The 17,942-nt window shown below is 44.7% G+C and overlaps 2 annotated features.

Annotated features, from left to right (window-relative positions):
- Positions 7,630–8,137: an enhancer, noted in NCBI's record as "H3K4me1 hESC enhancer chr7:50875755-50876262 (GRCh37/hg19 assembly coordinates)". NCBI's record gives its function as "activates a minimal SCP1, AML or CMV promoter by ChIP-STARR-seq in primed H9 embryonic stem cells {active_cell/tissue: H9 hESC(primed)}" and the evidence as "EXISTENCE:reporter gene assay evidence [ECO:0000049][PMID:30033119]".
- Positions 12,444–12,738: an enhancer, noted in NCBI's record as "tiled region #14531; K562 Activating DNase unmatched - State 8:EnhW, and HepG2 Activating non-DNase unmatched - State 10:DNaseD". NCBI's record gives its function as "activates a minimal TATA promoter and a strong SV40 promoter by Sharpr-MPRA in K562 cells, with weaker activation in HepG2 cells {active_cell/tissue: HepG2 | K562}" and the evidence as "EXISTENCE:reporter gene assay evidence [ECO:0000049][PMID:27701403]".

Consider the following 17,942-nt stretch of genomic DNA (forward strand, 5'->3'; position numbering starts at 1 on the left):
ATGCAGCCTGGGAATTAGGATCCTAGGGATGGCATGCAATTCTAAATCCCTAGGCATCCAAACCTAGTTATATCTCTAAAACACGAGCTCCTTTCCAGCCACTTAAAAAAAAAATCATTTCAGCACCTTAACCCCATTAGAAGTTAATTAACCATGAATGTAGCACAAACTTTACTTAATAAAATATATCTCCATCCCAGTACACTTCATGATTTTAATAACCAAAGTTCCAGAGCTAGTAGGAGAATCCAAAATAAGAACAAAAACTTTTAATTGGTAAAAATTATTTAGAGCTACTGGGGATTTAGTATTAGCATAACCTGCACGGTGTGTGAGGGGAAGTGAATGTATGTTTTTGAGACAGCACCTTAAAGTTAATGTTTAAGATGTTAAAGCCAGAAGCTGCTTCAGTTAGTCAGCATACATTCTTTAAGAGGATTAATCTGCCTGCATGAGGTACGAGACTACACAGAAAATAGAACAGCTAATCCTGGAGATGAACCTGTTAGATATCCCACAATTCGTACTTACAGCAGTGAGGAACCCTGTCCAGGTGGAGGGCGATCACGTGAGTGTTTGCATTCACTTTGGGCTCGCACTTCTGTTAGCCAAGTCTGGATGTTCAGTTGCACAGGAGAGAATTATATTTTACAATAATTTGCAGAGAGTCCTTCTCATTCATTTATATGTAAGTGTAGCCCAGGGTCATTATTTTTTAGGACTCATCAGATTTAAAGATCGAGTGACTGTATGTGACAGATTTTTCTAGGAGAAACAGTATTTTTTCTTCTTCTTCCCTTAGCTATTATCTTCTCCTCTTTCTTCTCCTCCCTCTTCATTCTCAAAACAAGCACCATCCCTAAGTGCCTGCTTCAGCATAAACAGGTGATATATGTTTAATGTGTACCTTACATTAGACACTGTACCAGGCACTTTATATATGTATTTCAGTTAATCCTCATAATAAATTTGAGGCAAATATTGTTTTCTTAGTTTTATAGTCAAGGAAGCAGACTCAGGGAAGCTACATGGCTTCTCAAGGTCACTTAACAAATCAGTGGCAGGGCTGGCATTTGAAGCCCCCTTTGTCTGACTCTCAGTCCCTTCTACCTTCTTCCCACTATTCCTGGCTGTCTCTACTGTCATTTCTTGTCATTTGATTATTTTCCATGTAACCAGTTATTTAAGTGTATGACCTAATGGGATGTCTTTTGTGCAAAAGTCTGCAATTAGATTTCAGTATAATAAAGTTCTCCCTCTTTAGGAAAGGTGTTCTCGTTTATTTTTGGATCCTAAAATGTGATCTCATTTCTATTTAAGCATGTGTCCCTGAATCCAAGGTGGAGGAAGGGGAGGGTCATGGGAGGAAGATATTAAAGTCTTTTATTTATTCAAGTTAGGGATTTTAATCTCACACTTAACCACCCTCCTTGCCCTCCTACTGTTAGGGAGTTTGACTTACTTGGCTCTGATGCTACCTTGGGAATTCTGACCTCCTGGAGACCAGAGACACCCACAGGATGGGGATGGCACCATGACAGGCAGCTCCAGAAATGGGCGGTGGGAAGAGCCAACCCTAGAGTGGGTGGAGCTGGGTCAGTGATGATGCAGCCAGACAATATATCCAAAAAGTGCAAAAGAGGTAGATGTCCTGCAGATGAGTGACCCTCATGGTGATGAGACACCTGGTGGACAGAAGGAGCTAGCAAGGTCTGCTCACAGATGGAAGTCCAGTGGCAGATATTCAGTCCCTGGGAAAGAACAAGATAGGGCTTCCATCCAGCAGGAAGTGAGTTAGGAGATCAAGACTGTTCACAGTAAAAGTTGGTGCCCCACTGCAAGAACTAGGAAACAAGTCTGTAGAGGACCTGAGTCCCCGAGCACCCCGTGACACTCCTTCAGTATTCCCTTAGGAGAGGAATGCCAGTGTCTGCAGGGACTCTTTGAGGGAGGAGAGGAGGAATAAGGGGGAAGGAAGTAATGCAACTCAGAATGCTTGTACTAGGCCAGGTGCCTAGTACAGCTGTAATCCCGGCATTTGAGGAGGCTGAGGTGGGTGGATCATTTGAGGTCAGGAGTTCAACACCAGCCAGGCCAACATGGCGAAACCCCGTCTCTGCTAAAAATAACAAAAATTAGCTGGGTGTGGTGGCGGGTGCCTGTAATCCCAGCTACTTGGGAGGCTGAGACACAAGAATTGCTTGAACCAGGGAGGCAGAGGCTGCAGTGAGCCAAGATCGCACCACTGCACTCCAGCCTGGGCAACAGAGTGAGAGTCCATGGAAAAGAAAAGGAAAGGGAGGGGAGGGAAAGGGAAAGGGAAAGGGAAAGGGAAAGGGAAAGGGAAAGGGAAGGGAATGGAAGGGAAGTCCTAAAGACCATCAGTGATAACTCATTCAATTAACAGACACTGATTGAATGCTGACTACCTGCAGCATTGCAGGTAGGTGCAAAGCAGTCCAGAGGCAGTCAAGATGTTGGCATTGATGGCCTTACAAAGGCTCCTGCAACAGGACTCTGAGAGGCTGGGACAGACTCTTTGGGGGCCTGTATGATGACAAGGGCAGATGTATACCAGAAAGACTCTTCCCAGGGAGGGATGCACAGACTTTCCAAACTGCCCAGGGGCCCTAAGTGTCTCGGTCGTCAAGAGTCCAGGGTTCCAGCTGGGGCTCTGAGAGACCAGTCGGTGAGGGCAGCAGTTAGCAGCTGCTCTGTCTCTCAGAGCCTCCATGTCTGCATGTCTGAAAAACTCCATGAGGACTTTTTGTATAGAGGCCATCACCTGTGGAGGAAGTTTGTCACAATGCCCTAGTAAAGCATTCGGTTGGGGGCTCCATATTCATTCAGTTCTAGTTAAGGACATATGTTTTGGAACCAGGAATTTGACCCAGGTTCAAATTCTAACTTTCCTTCTTGTTAGTTGTGGGACTGTGGATAAATTACACAGACTCCCTAACTCAACTTCCTCAGCTGTAGAGTCAGGATGATAATTCTTACCTAATAGTGTTGTTTTAGTGGATTTTTATACCTTACTTTTGTCTGTAATGAGTTAAAATATAATGCAGCATAATAAACCACCCCAAATAGAGTGGCATAAAACAAACATCATTTTGTTTTGTTTGCACAACTATGAGTCAGTAAGTCATGCATGGCGCAGTGAGGACAGCCAGCTTGCCTCTTCTCTACCATGCCTGGCAATCAGAGTCATCCATCCCTGTGTCCCAGAGATATAGTGGTTGGCTTAGGAATGGGCCTGGGAATCAACTCAGGCCAAAGAAGAGTGAGGGGGAGGAAGTTTACTGGGGGTGTCTAGAAAAGGAGTTTCCGTTCCTTTGTTATGTAGGACACGAGCTATGAATGAGAAAGTGTGGAACCTCAGGTGCACTGGCAGCCTCCCTGGCTCTAAGGATAGTCCACTGAGGAGGAAGCTGACCCTGTGGGCCTCAACGTAAGGGAGCAGAGGAAACATGGGCATCTGAGGTCATCACAGACCATCCCACCCTGGACTTCACATTCTGAGAGTCAATAAACATCCTTACTGTTTTTTGTTTTTTGTTTTGAGACAGGGTCTTGCTGTGTTGCCCCGGCTGTTCTTGAACTCCTAGGATCAAGCAATCCTCCCACCTCAGCCCCCTGAGTAACTGAGACTACAGACACATGCCCTGACACCTGGCTCATGGACTACTGTTTTTACTTGAGGATTAAAGCATCATGACTAATATGATTGTTCACTATGATAACATGGGGTAACCACTCTATAAAGAGGAGCAGTATCATGGAGTTGCCTTTCTGCACAGAAGCTGCTGTTCATTTTGCCATCACAGCATCAGGTATACCAATATTCATGAAAAAGGCAGGGCTGCTTGATTATTTAACCTACTCTTTTCTAGGGAGGAAGTGTCCCCAGCCAGGGAAGGTGCATCAGGAAGCCACAAACTCTGAGTGGGGGCTGGAAAGGGGTGCAAATCCTCCACTGAGACTGTGGACCATTCACCCTACCCTATAGTTCCCCCCAGAGACTCTGGCCTGAAACAGCATGGGTGTTTTGGAAGATACACTTACCATTCTGCTCTGCTCTATTTGTGTTGTTTTGGAAAAAAAAATCTTTACACAGTTAACACTTTGCTTTCCAAAGCATTTTAGGGAACAGGGTCAGCCTCATTCATTCCTAGCATCTTAATCAATTGTCTAAAGTCTTAAGCAGAACTCTCCAACACTTGATGCCAAAATGCCTTCATAGCCCCCAAAGAGACACTACTCAGGGACCCCCCACTATCCCAGAGTCAGAGCTATAACTGAATGCTCAAGTTAGGGTCTTTCAGGAATATGTCATGAAGCACAATCATTCTTCCAGAAGGGCTACTGAGAAATCCTATCACAGTAAAGAGGACAGATTTGGGGGTCAATACAGCCACACCCCTTATTTGCCATGGGTCATAGGCTGGCCACCCAATGACTCCAAGCTTCAGTATTCTCAGTTATCATACAGAGACCATCTACTGTGGGCAAAATCAAGTAGACCATGGGTCTGAAGTGCCTAGCAAGATAGCGGCTCATGGTAAGACTCAGTCAGCAGGGATTATACTTCCTCCATCATGTGGAGGAACTTAGTAATATCTGGAGTAGGTTCAGTTCCTGCTCGACCACTGGTGAGACCCCTATTCTGCCTCCTTTCCTCATCTGTGAGATGGGGAAATAACAGCACCTACTCCATAGGGTGGCTTCTTAGGATTAAATTTGTATGTATGTAATGGAATGATCTGTGGTGTCACCAGCAATAAACTCTGGGGACCATCCCTCCAGGTGAGCCATAAATACATGCTTGGGATCCTCCTGACTCCCAGGCCCATGGTTCATCAGGCTCATCCTGCCAGGAGAATGGCTTGACCAGGGATGGCCCTCAGTTACTTTCTTCTCTGGGGAAGAAGAGACTCAGAATGACAGCCTGGTCAGTCGATGGCAGTGTCCAAGGAATGGACCACCTAGGTAAGTACTCTGTGCATGGGACAGGACATCCTGTGCCTGTTCCCACCCTGATATGTTGACAGGTCCTTTGAAGGGCTGGGCAGGGCTGCCTGCAAGGTGAGTTTTGAGCTGGGCACCCTAATCTCAGCTGACAGGGACTCACCACACATATCCTCTGGTCCACCATTCAGCCCTTGTGGCATCATCTAGCTAGAGCCAGATGGGGGAACTCGACTTTGGTGGATATACACCAAAGAAAGAGAAAGAGGAAGCAAGGCTGCCTGGCACTGAGCATCTCGTTTTATAGCCATCTGTGAAAGAAGAGCTATCATTTAATTTAAATTTCCCTTGTATTCACAACTTTACAGGAAGAGTTAAAAATACATGAAATGTCAACTATTTGGATAACCTTTTGCCACTTCCCAATAAATATGATGTACATGTTTCCATCTCAATAGCCAGAAGTGAGTTTCGCATTCTGTTTTGGTTTCAGCTGCCTCCAGGCACCCCTTTCTATGAATTGACACCCTCCACATGCATGTCTGTGGGGCACTTGGCCCTTTTCCAGTTTTTGGCTGCTATGAATAGCACCGCAAGAAATGCCCCTGGGCAAGCCATTTTTTTTTTTTCAAATCCATTACACATCTCACTAGAACATTGCTGTTTCCTTTTCTTCTTTTATTAGAGTCGAGGAAGAAAGGACTTATGCCAGCTAACTGAACAGAAAGGGCTCATTAAGGGGAATCTTTCTGGGAGGACAGGCAGCAGCTGTTCTAGGGGGGTCACTGTTGCTGGTGAGTGCAGGGGGGTCGCTGTTGCTGGTGGGTGCCGCCACACCTTGCCCCCTTCCCTTCTCCTGCGTCCAGGTCTGCTGGCTGGCACCTGCTCCCTGTGGTCTGCCCCTCATCACTGGCTTTCATGAGGACGGCTGTGGCTCCTGCGGCACCAACTGGCCGATTTCCTTGCAGTGTTGATTTCCACCTTCAGCAAGCTCAATCTGTCAGATTCCATAGTCCATATTCCTCAACTGGCTGTCTCCTTAGTCTAAGTCTGATTTCACACAAGGCCAGGGCACGGGTAGGGCCTATGATGGGGCAGGAGGGCTCGGTCATGAAAGGAATCAAATTTAGTTGACAGTCGACCCTTTGGCCACATGGGTTTGAACTGGGTGGGTCCACTTAGGCATGGGTTTTCATTCTCCTCTGCCACTCCTGAGGCACCAAGAACAACCCCTCCTCTTCCTCTTCCTCTTCCTCAGCCTCAAGGTGAAGACGAAGCTGAAGACCTTTACGATGATCCACTTCCACTTATCAAAGAATAAATACATTTTCTCTTGCTTATAAGTTTTATAATAACATTTTCTTTTCTCTAACTTTATTTTTTAATTTTTAAAAATTTTTATTTATTTATTTTTTTTGAGATGAAGTCTCGCTCTGTTGCCCAGGCTGGAGTGCAATGGCGCGATCTCAGTTCACTATAACCTCCACCTCCCAGGTTCAAGCGATTTTCCTGTCTCAGCCTCTCAAGTAGCTGGGATGACAGGTGTGCGACACCATGCCAGGCTCATTTTTGTATTTTCAGTAGAGATGGGGTTTCGCCAAGTTGGCCAGGCTGGTCTCGAACTCCTGACCTCAGGTGATCCACCTGGCTCGGCCTCCCAAAGTGCTGGGATTACAGGCATGAACCACTGCGCCCAGCCTTTTTAATGTTATTCTTTTTCTCTCTAGCTTACTTTAGTGTTAGAATACAGAATATGACACATGTAATGAAATATGTGTGAATCAACTGCTTATGTGGTCGGTAAGTCTTCCAGCCAACAGCTATTCGTAGTTAAGTTGGTGGGGAGTCAAAAGTTATGTGTGAATTTTTGACTGTGCAGGGGTCAGTGCTCCTAGCCCCAGTGTTGTTCAAGGGTCAACTGAAATTTGATCTCCAAATGGGATTTTACAAACCACGCCCAAAACTTAGTGACTGAAAACCACCACCATCTAATTTGTTCACAATTTTCTAGACCAGTGATTTAGACTGGGCCTAACAGCACGGTGCTTCTGCCGGCCTCCCCTGGGATCCTTCCTGCCCTGGGGCTGGGGCTGGGGCCGCCTGCTGGGGTGTGCAGGCCGGGGGCCTGAGGTGGAACATCCGCTGTGTTCCTCCATGGGATATCGTCCTGCACTTGCAGGACGTTGTCTCAGGGAGGTGGAGAGGGCAAGTCCTGGTGGCCAGGGGCTCTCCGTGCTCCTGCTGCATCTTATTTGCTAGGGTTATGTTGGCCAGTTTGGGAGAGTGATGCCCGTGGGTGCAGACATGTGACTTAGTGTGCTTTGGGAGCTGTTGCCTTAACACTTTACAACACATGTGCATGAAACTTCATACGAAACCTGGAAAGTTTGAAAGAAGATACATACTGCTTTACACTAAACATACTACTTTAAACATACTACTTTAAACCAGGTCTCATTTCTGTATGTGGTCACTGTGAATGCATATCTTTTATTAAGCCTTATAATTATCTCATGCATAGCAAGATCATATTACATTTGTCTACTTTTTAAAAAGTTTTAACATATTTAATATAAACATTGAAAATGTACCACAAATTTTGTAATCCTGATATAGCTTTTTTTTTTCATTTTTCTATACCAGGTGCCTGTAAAAATAGAAGTGAAATGGGCCTCTACTGGCCCCCCAAACCTCTGGTTATAAGTCTGGTTATAGGGTCGGCCCATAGATGGTCTGCTCTGAGGTGAGAGAAGCCAACTTAGAGGTGGAGATCAGTGCACAGGACAGTCACTGGAGGGTGTTCTCAGGATCACCTGTGGGAGGGAAGGAACAAAGTAAGAGTTGAAGATGGTGTTGAATGGCAACACTGTCACAGAAGTCTCAGCTGACCCTGTGGGCAGCTCTGTGTTGGCATCTCCTAAATTGGGGCAAAGAGGTGGGGTTCTCATGATGACCACTCCCCTGTCAGTCAGCCATTGGATGTGGCTGCCCCCAGCAAGGGCACCTGAGCGCAGGCACGCCTTGCAGAGGGACTCCACTGGGCACGGCTGGCCACTCACACTGGCAGCAGCTGGAAGAGTGAGCCCATTCGTCGAAGAAGGGGGATTGGGCTGGGTGGCCTGGCATCCGCATGCCACCCCGGTCACATCTCCTTCCTTGCACCCTTGCAGTAGGGGTGTTACCATGAAAGAGCCACGCAACCACAGGGAAGCACAGCTGCCCGAGCAGCAGGTCTGCGGGCACAGCAGCTTCCCCTGGAAGGAGCGTGGCCCTGGCAGGCCTGCTGAGGCTTGTCCAGTCCAGTACTATGAACGCTGGTGAGAACTAATCCACAGATGTCTGGGTGCCCCGCCTCTTTGACATATATATTGGGGTTTTCTGTCGCAGGCATTTGTCTGCAAGCTTAACTGCTACACCCTGGATCAGCTGCAGTCTCATCAATGGGCAGCCTCCCCTAACAGCCTGAATTTAGGGGAGACCAACCACATTCACAGGTCATAAACCACCCTCTTTCTGGTCTAAGACTTCCTGACATGGATCTCGCAGCAGTGACAAAAGCCTCAAGGCTTGTTCTCAAGTGGTGATCCCCACACGGCACCGCCTACAAATGTGGTCTTCACTGACCCACCTGGAGTCTCTCCCATGGAGTGTCTTAGCCAGCTCAGGCTCCCATAAGAACATATCACAGACTGAGGGGCTTAAACAATAGACCCTTATTTTCTCATGCTTCTGGAAGCCAAAGTCCGAGAAAAAAGCCTGCCCAAGGCGTGGGCAGGACTAGTTTCTCCCCAGCCCATGCACCTGTGTTCTTACAGGGTCTGCCCACTGAGTGTCCGTGTCCCAATCTCCTTTTATAAGGACACTAGTTAGGTTGGATTAGGGCCTACTCTTATGACCTCCTTTCACCTTAATTACCACCTTCTAGACCCTATCTTCAAATACAGTCACATTGGGGTTTGGGCTTCAACTTATGGATTTTAGGGGATACAGCTCAGTCCACAGCATCCCCAGCTCACTGCTCTATGCATGTCCTCTTGCAGTGGTGGCTTCCAACCCTGGCCACAGGTCACCTTTTGCTTTTTTTTAGCTGCTTTTCAGAATTTCCTAGGCTTGAAGAGTAATGGAATTATTTACTTCCCCTCCACCTAAACCAAGACCTGTGGTCTAGTGTGTGCTGGCCTCCAGTGGTCATCCTTGATCAAAAGATCCTTGAAGCATCCTCCTGGAAGAGGCCTTAGATTGAGTCTTCAGCCACGTCAGAAGCTGGCCTTTTCCCTCTGCAGAAACAGGACTTGCATTCTGTCCAGCTGCATCCTCTGTCCCTCCTCCTCTTCCTCCCTGTTCCTCTAGGTTCTACCACTTACCTGCCCCCAGGTCCCCTTGTTCCATCCCAGCATTTTTACTGCCCAGGAACCAAGGCTGAGGAATTCTAGGTAGGGTGCCAGGGCTGGCCTGGAACCTCCAGGAGGGACACCTGCAGGGCCAGACCAGGCCACAAACTGAGGCAAGACTTACAAAGAGAAGTTTCAGGAAGCAGGTGCCTGACAGGTCCCCACGATCTGGGTCCTGTCCGTGCTCCAGGGAATGCCATGAATGCGGAGTGCTGAAGACAAATGGCCAGGGTGTGTGTGGGGGAGGGAGGGTGAGACCATGAGAATGAGTCCTCCTTGTCGAACCCTGTAACTCTTCCCGAGTCATGCCACCTTCCTTTCCACTGATGTGCCAATGGCTGCAATTCAGCCTACTCCCTGAGCTCCAGACTCTTGTTTGCAACCACCTTCCAGACATTTTCCCCCGGGCCCCCTGCACACACTTCAAGCATGGCATGTCCCACATGGAGCTTGTCATCCCAGACTCCTTTCTTCTTGCAGTCATTGGTGCCACAACTGACTGCACCTGCACGCCTGAGCAGGAGGCAGAATAACCTGCCCCAGGCTACGCTGAGTAGAGCTGTTCCTCAAAGTGTTGTCCTCAGCCCAGCAGCATCCACGCCTCTTGCAAACTTAGTAGAAATGTGAATTCCTGGGCCCTACCCAGACCTGCAAAATCAGATCTTTGTGGGGGTGCTCCAGAGATCTGTGCCCTAACCAGTTCTGGCATGCTGGCCTTTGAGAACAACTGGCGTAGAAAGATCAAGACCCAGAAGTCATCCCAGACATAGCTGGGCTATTTAATGTCCATCTTCCCCATCTAACAGGGCTCTGGGGGCCCAGATTCAATCCCACTCTCCTTTTACACCAGCACTGACACCTGTCTGGCTTTAAGGAGGGGCTCCAATGCTTCAAACTGAACTGCAGTCATGATATTGGTTCAAAACGGTTACCTTAGTGCCAGAGATGTCCTGATGTGTGAAAAATTTGACCACTTCCCCAGGCCTGTGACTTTGTTGGGTTCTGTAGTTGCTTGTGAGGACAGGAGACAACAGTTGACACACATCTGTGACTTTCCAGGACAGCATCTCCCTGCAGCATTGCTATCTCCTCAGTGCTCCAGGTAGATTTCCTGGTGCAGATTCCATTGGTTAAGACTGCATTTGATATTTACATAAACTACGTTTTCACTCCTAGACAAATAGTAGGTGTGCCATGCAATTTGTCCCAGTCCCTGAGGAAATGGGTTTATGTGGCAGCAGCTATGGAGGGCAGCTATGACCTTGGTCCCTTGTTCTGGACCTTGGGAGAGTCCCTGGCAGCCTTCCCCACACTGAGCTCTGCAGAAATAGCACAAGGCACGGTTGCACCCAGAAAAGGGGCTTAGTGGAAATAAGTATGCCTTCACTATAATAGGGTATATGTGATATCTCAAAACATTTTTATTTCAAAGTTGAAATAATTCATTTAATGAGCAAACTTATTGCACTCTGCTGTGATTTATACAATGAGACCACCATAGCTAATTAGGCCATTGATAGTCACCAGAGCCAAGGTAGCCAATTCAGAGGCCAGTGAATGACCAGTGAGATGGCCAAGATTGAAACAATCCCCCAATCTCTCTAATTCTTGCCTAGAACATCTATTTGGGAAATAGGGTAGGACTGACCTAGTTTACAGTGAGGGTATCAGACAACACAATGTCATGAGATCACATGTGAATAAGCAGTGGAAACCCAAAAATAGAAGAAAATGGAGATTTGCTAAGGTAACACAAGGAAGAGCCTACAATGAGAGAGAGAGAGAATTGGTTGATGAAGCTCATTTGCTTTCTGCAACTTTTGAGATTTAGTCTACACGTTTCTTGCTTTACCCAAGGTAAATTTGAGTGAGCCTGTGTTTTTTGAAACTAAAAGAAACTGTTCTTTAAAACTACAAGCCGCTGGACTGTGCCAGGATCTGGAATTTAAGCTTAATTATCACCAGTACTTTTGGAGTAGCAAGTATTTTATTGTCATTTGTAATAAAGGCAACACCAGGGTATGAAGGTGGTCATGGACCTAGGAGCCAGACTTCTGGAGTTCAAATTGTTCTTATTTCCAGCTGGTCAATCTCAGGCAAATTATCTAACTTCTCTGAACCAGTGTTTCCCCAGCGCCTGGAACAAAGCAGTGCTCAGTGAACATTAGCTATTCAAAACTCTCACCCTTCCCTCTGTCTTATAGTATTCCCACCAGAATTATTCACAGCACTCCTGAAATCCAGTCCATTTTAACTTAATACTTTTTTAGTTACCTGGATTCAATGAGACAGGTTAGCAATAAGCAGGTTAGTTGCTTACCGCATGCAGAGTCTGGTATAAAGAAAGTGATTTATTCTCAAACTAGCTTAGGGGAAGAGGCACAGGCATCCTGCCTTTAAATGTGCCACTTCACTTTTGGAGCAGAAAGCGACCACTTTTAAAAGGCAGGGGAGGAAGTGAGCAAGGGCAGAGAGCTCTGCATGCCAGCTCCAGTGCCACCAGTGACTGCTAGCGCATTCGTGGGCAGGCTGTTATCCCTCAAGGCAACCTCCTGTAGGGTGAGAGCTCCCTAGTGGGGATACTTTGTTTTGTAAATCAACTGTTAACTCTCAGGGGTTCCACCTTGAAGCCCATAGTTAGATGAACTTGCCCCCTTAGGGAGATGGAGGCATCTCCCTACGGAGATGGAGTGGGGGAGCGGGGGTAAAAGGCTATATATTTGCATTTCGGAAAGGTGAGGAAGTGGGGAAACAGAAACAGGAAAAGAAGAAAAATATAATTAAACAATCTCTTAGAAAAACGGGGGTACTCAGTCACAATAGAATGCATGAAAGGGCTTTATAAACTGTTAATCACTTCCTAGATCAGTTGTTTTCAAAGTGAGATTTGCCAACCAGCAGGATCAAGATTACTTGGGAACTCCTTGGAAAAGCAATTTCTCAGTGCAAGCCCCAGACCCAGACTACTGAATCAGAAACTCAAGCAGGCCATTTACCTGGGGCAATAGTTATAAGTAGATTTTTTATCCCTACCCTAAACTGTGGAATATTCCCTACCTCCCCCACCCCTCCAGAGGCAAGGGAATCATAGCCAGGGTCCTGAGAAGATAACCCAAATGAAAATCCAGTCCCAAAGGGCCAACTTGCAGCAAGCTTACCAGACCCAATTTGCCTGTCCATGCATCATGTAGCATGCAGTAATGGGAACTCCAAGGCCCAGGCCCTGCCCACATTCCAGGAAACTCCCAGCCTTGGCCAGGAACCAAGATGACATCAGGTCCTGAGGCCTACACCCTTAGGTGACCAGAGGCCACTTGTTCATCCTTCAAAATGAGAAAGGAAGCAGCAACCTCCTGGAGCACAGGGTTCCCCTCCTGTTTTATGCTACAAAAAGAAATAGACAGCCTTACATATCAACTGTAGCCTTGTAGAATTCACAAAGCCCGTGAAGTGAACTCAGCATCCTGCACAGAGAAGCCACTGCTGTCTCTGAGCTCAGGAGCTGCAGGAAGCTTCTGCTCTGCTCCCTCCAGGTGTAGGAAGGCCCTGCTCTGGCCACAGCCAAGGAATCTTCTCTTCCCCATGGTTAACACTACTTGTACTCCACCCTCCCTAATCTACAGCAGTTTCAAACTAAAGTAACTCACACTTAAGAATAAAACCAACAAAGAGTGCAGTTATTTTTATTATCAGCCAACTTGGGGAAACAAGGATGTAGTTGATTGAATCCTCATTTTATTCATGATTTTTATATTTGAAAGGTGTAACATTGGTAAATATTTCTGTTCCTTAAAAAATTGGAGCAAAACAGACACCTTTTTTTTTTTTTTTTTTGAGTCACAGTTTCACTCTGTCGCCCAGGCTGGATTGCATTGGCGCGATCTTGGCTCACTGCAATCTCTGCCTCCCAAGTTCAAGCCATTCTCCTGCCTCAGTCTCCAGAGTAGCTGGGATTACAGGCACCCGCCACCATGCCTGCTTACATTTTTTTGTGTTTTTAGTAGAGACGGGGTTTCATCATGATGGCCAGGCTGGTGTTGAACTCCTGACCTCATGTGATCCACCCACCTCGGCCTCCCAAAGTTCTGGGATTACAGTTTGTGAGCCACCATGCCCGGCCCCCAGACTTTCTTAATAGCAATGAACATGTTAATCCTGAGGCTTTATAATTTTCATTTTAAAACTGCCTATTATCTCAAGCTGAAAATAAAGTGAAAAATTATTGCATATACAATCATAATGATAAATGAGAAATGCCCAGTTTCTATTTTCTTGGTTATTACAAAACATTAATACAGTGTTTAGTTTTAAAAAGTGTCTGTTTATACACCATGTCAACTGAGTCCTATTGCATTGATTCTCAATCTTCATGGTACTGTGAAAGGAAAATAAATCTTGGGACCTCAAACTCATTCAGCAAAAGGGAAAAGTCAAGCTGGGAACTGGGTCATGCATACCTGCCTCCCATTTTGGTTCCTGAATAAGATGACTACAAAGAGGAAAGGCTACATACCTCCCTCACATTTTGCCACGAGGAAATTCCCTGCAGGCCCCAAGAGCTTTACCCTAAAGCTTATCGGTTAGAGTTCACCATGGTAACGTAAATTGATAGCTTATCTTCACAGGTGCAGAGACATAGGACAGAACTCAAAGACATCCCTCTGCCCACCTGAGACAAATGCATATCTGATTGTTTCCTCTGCCCTATTGTTTCCATTATCTTATGTAAAAATGCAGATTCACTGAGCCAGACAAAGGCATGAATGACTGTTTTCCCCTACTGCCCTCTCACATGAAAATTGTGTATTTCTCAATATCCCACCCTTCCCCATTTAAATATTGAAGCTCTCAAAGTCATCTTTAGAGAAAGGCATAGACATGTCTTTCAGCACATCCTTAACTTTGACAAATAAACCTCCTAAAATGATTGAGACTTTCTTGGTCATTTTCGTTGATTGACAGTACCTATGAGTCACGTGGGAAACCTGTTAAAATGAAAATTCTGATTCAGTAGATTTGAGGGAGGGCCTGAGTTGGAAATGTTTTATTTTATTTATTTACTTATTTATTTGAGACGGAGTTTCGCTCTTGTTGCCCAGGCTGGAGTGCAATGGCGTGATCTCGGCTCACTGCAACCTCCGCCTCCCGGGTTCAGGTGATTCTCCTGCATCAGCCTCCTGAGTAGCTGGGATTACAGGCATGTGCCACCATGCCCGGCTAATTTTTTTTGTATTTTTAGTAGAGATGGGGTTTCTCCATGTTGGTCAGGCTGGTCTCGAACTCCCGACCTCAGGTGATCCGCCTGCCTTGGCCTCCCAAAGTGTTGGGATTACAGGCGTGAGCCACCACGCCTGGCCAATGGAAATGTTTTAAATGCTTCATGGACTATACATTAAGTATGATATTGTTTGGCTGTGTCCCCACCGAAATCGCATCTTGAACTGTAGCTCCCACAATTACTATATGTCATGGAGGGACCCAGGGGGAGGCAATTGAATCATAGGGGCGGGTCTTTGCCTTGCTGTTCATGTGATAGCAAATAAGTCTCACAGGATCTGATGGTTTTATAAAGGGGAATTCCCCTGCACAAGCCCTCTCTTGCTTGCTGCTATGTAAGACCTCCCTTGCTCTTCCACCATGATTATGAGGCCTCCCCAGCCATGTGGAACTGTGAGTCTTGGGTATGTCTTTATTAGCAGTATGAGAACAGATTAATACAGAGTAGTCATCTCAAAAGTTATTTTTATAGAATTTTTTAAAAATCCTAAAATTCATATGGAACTACAAAAAACCCCAAATACCAAGGCAATCATGAGCAAAAAGAACAAAGCTGAAGGTATCATACGACCTGATTTCAAGCTATACTACAAAGCTATATTAATTAACACAGCATGGTACTGGCAAAAAATAGATACATTGACCAGTGGAACAGAATAGCAAGTCCAGAAATGAACTCATGCATATATAGTCAATAGACTTTTGAAAAGGTTTCCATGAAAATATGCAATAGGAAAAGGACAGCCTCTAATAAATGGTGATGTTGTGAAAACTGGAATTCCACATGCAGAAGAATTCATTCATTCCATGAAAACTGGAATTCCACATGCAGACGAATTCTCATTTTATTCATGATTTTTATATCTGAAAGTTATAACATTGGTAGAGATTTCTGTTGCTTTAAAAAATTGGAGCAAAAGAGACTTTTTTTTTTTGAGACAGAGTCTCAAATTCTTATTCTGCATGTGGAATTCCAGTTTTCACAGAATCTCACCCCGTGTACAAAAATCAGCTCAAAATGGACTAAAGACTTCAACATAAGACGAGACACTAAAACTACTAGACGGCATAGGGGAAAAACTGTACAACATTGGTCTTTGAAATGAGTGTTTGGAGTTAACTCCCAAAGTATAGGCAACATAGGCATAAATAAATGGGTTTAGATCACACTATAAAGCTTCTACACAGCAAAGGAAACAACAGTGTATGGAGACAACCTACTGATTGGGAGAAAATATTTGCAAGCCATACATCTGATAAGGGGTTAATATCCAATATATATATATGGAGCTCAAGCAACTCAATAACAAGAAAATAAAAAAAAAATAGGCAAGGGACCTAAATAGACATTTCTCAAAAGAAGACATACAAATGGCCAACAGATAATGAAAAAATGCTCAACATGGACAATCATTAGGGAAATGCATATTAAAACCACAATAATATATAATCTCACACCTGTCAGAATGTCAAAAAGGTGAAAGATAATAAGTGTTGACAAAGATGTGGAGGAATGCACCCCTCATACACTGTTGGTGGGAATGTACATGAGTACAGCCATTATGAGAAACAATATGGAGGTCCCTCAAAGAACTAAAAATAGAATTGCCATATGATTTGGCAATCTCACTTCTGGGTATTTACCTAAAAGATCTGAAGTCAGTTCGTGGAACAGATGTCTGCGCCCCTGTGTTTGCTATAGCACTGTTTGCAATAGCCAAGTTATGGAATCAATCTAAGTGTCCATTAACAGATGAATAAAGAAAATGTGGTACATATACACACAGTGGAATACTATTTAGCTTTAAAAAAGGGGGAAATTCTGTCACTTGTGACAACATGGATGGAATTGGAAAACATTGTGCTAAATGAAATAAGTCAGCCACAGAAAGACAGACACCGCATGTTCTCACTTATATGTGGAATCTAAAACAACTGAACTTAAAGAAGCAGAGACTAGAATGGTGGTTACGGGGCCTGGGGGTGGGAGAAGGAGGAAATATGATGATCAATGGGTACAAAATCTCAGATAAATAGGAAGAGTATTTTTTCTTCTTTTTTGAGTTCTATTGCAGAGCATGGTGAATATAGTTAATAATAGAGTTTTGTACATTTCCAAATTACTGAAAGTAAATTTCAAATGTTCTTAGCACAAAAAATTGTTTAGTATTTAAGGTGATGGATATGTTAACTAGCTTTTTTTTTTTTTTTGAGACTGAGTCTTGATCTGTCACCCAGGCTGGAGTGCAGTGGTGTGATCTTGGCTCACTGCAATCTCCATCTCCTGGGTTCAAGCAATTCTCCTGCCTCAGCCTCCCGAGTAGCTGGGATTACAGGTGCCGGCCACCATGCCTGCCTACTTTGTTTGTATTTTCAGTAGAGACGGGATTTCACCATGTTGGCCAGCTGGTCTCAAACTCCTGACCTCAGGTGATCTGCCCACTTTGGCATCCCAAAGTGCTGGGATTACAGGAGTGAGCCACCGCACCCGGCCACTAGCTTGATTTTATTATTCCACATTGTATTTATACATTATGTCACTCTTTATCCCATAATTATATACAATTATGAATTGTCAATTTACAATTTTAAAAAAGAAAAAAGCTGAGGCTCAGAAGAGTTACCTGACTTTCCCACAGTCTCTCCACATTCCACAGGAAACCATGATTTCAGATGTTTCCTCAACTCCAAGTCCAGTGTCTTTGCACAGCAAACCTTACAGCAAGGACGTTCTTTCTCCCTCTTGGCCTCTGTGCTGTTCTTGTCATACATCTTACTCCATGTTGTAGACCTCATAAAACATTTTTATTTGTTTTGGTTTAAATAGTCAATTATGTTTTTAAAATATTTTTTTAAATCATGAAAAAGTTATTTTATATTTGCCCACCTATCATTCCTGATACTCTTCATTCCTTTGTATAAATACAGATTTCCATCTTTACTGTGATTCTGCTGGTAATGAATGGTTTGGAAGCTTTTTAGTGCCTGAAAATGTTTTTATTTGCCTTTATTTCTGAAAACAAATTATTAGACTTGGAACTCTATAAAGAGTTTTTTTTAAAAAAGATGTTGTTTCAATGTTTCTGGTTTGTATACTTCCGACAAGAAGTCTGCTGTTGTTCCATGGATCTTGTCTAGTTTTTAAATTGTTTCATATGGGAGGGTAAATCTGGTTCCTGTTATTCTATCTTGGCCAGAAGCTGAAATCCTTTTCTCAGTTTTGAGTCCTTATTAGTAGTGACCTTTATCATGACCTCAGGCCTCTGTCATTACAATAATAGTTTTAGCATTTGCATACTGTGTTAC

This window comes from Homo sapiens, chromosome 7 (assembly GCF_000001405.40).
Source record: "Homo sapiens chromosome 7, GRCh38.p14 Primary Assembly".
In the NCBI taxonomy this organism is placed as follows: Eukaryota; Metazoa; Chordata; class Mammalia; order Primates; family Hominidae; genus Homo; species Homo sapiens.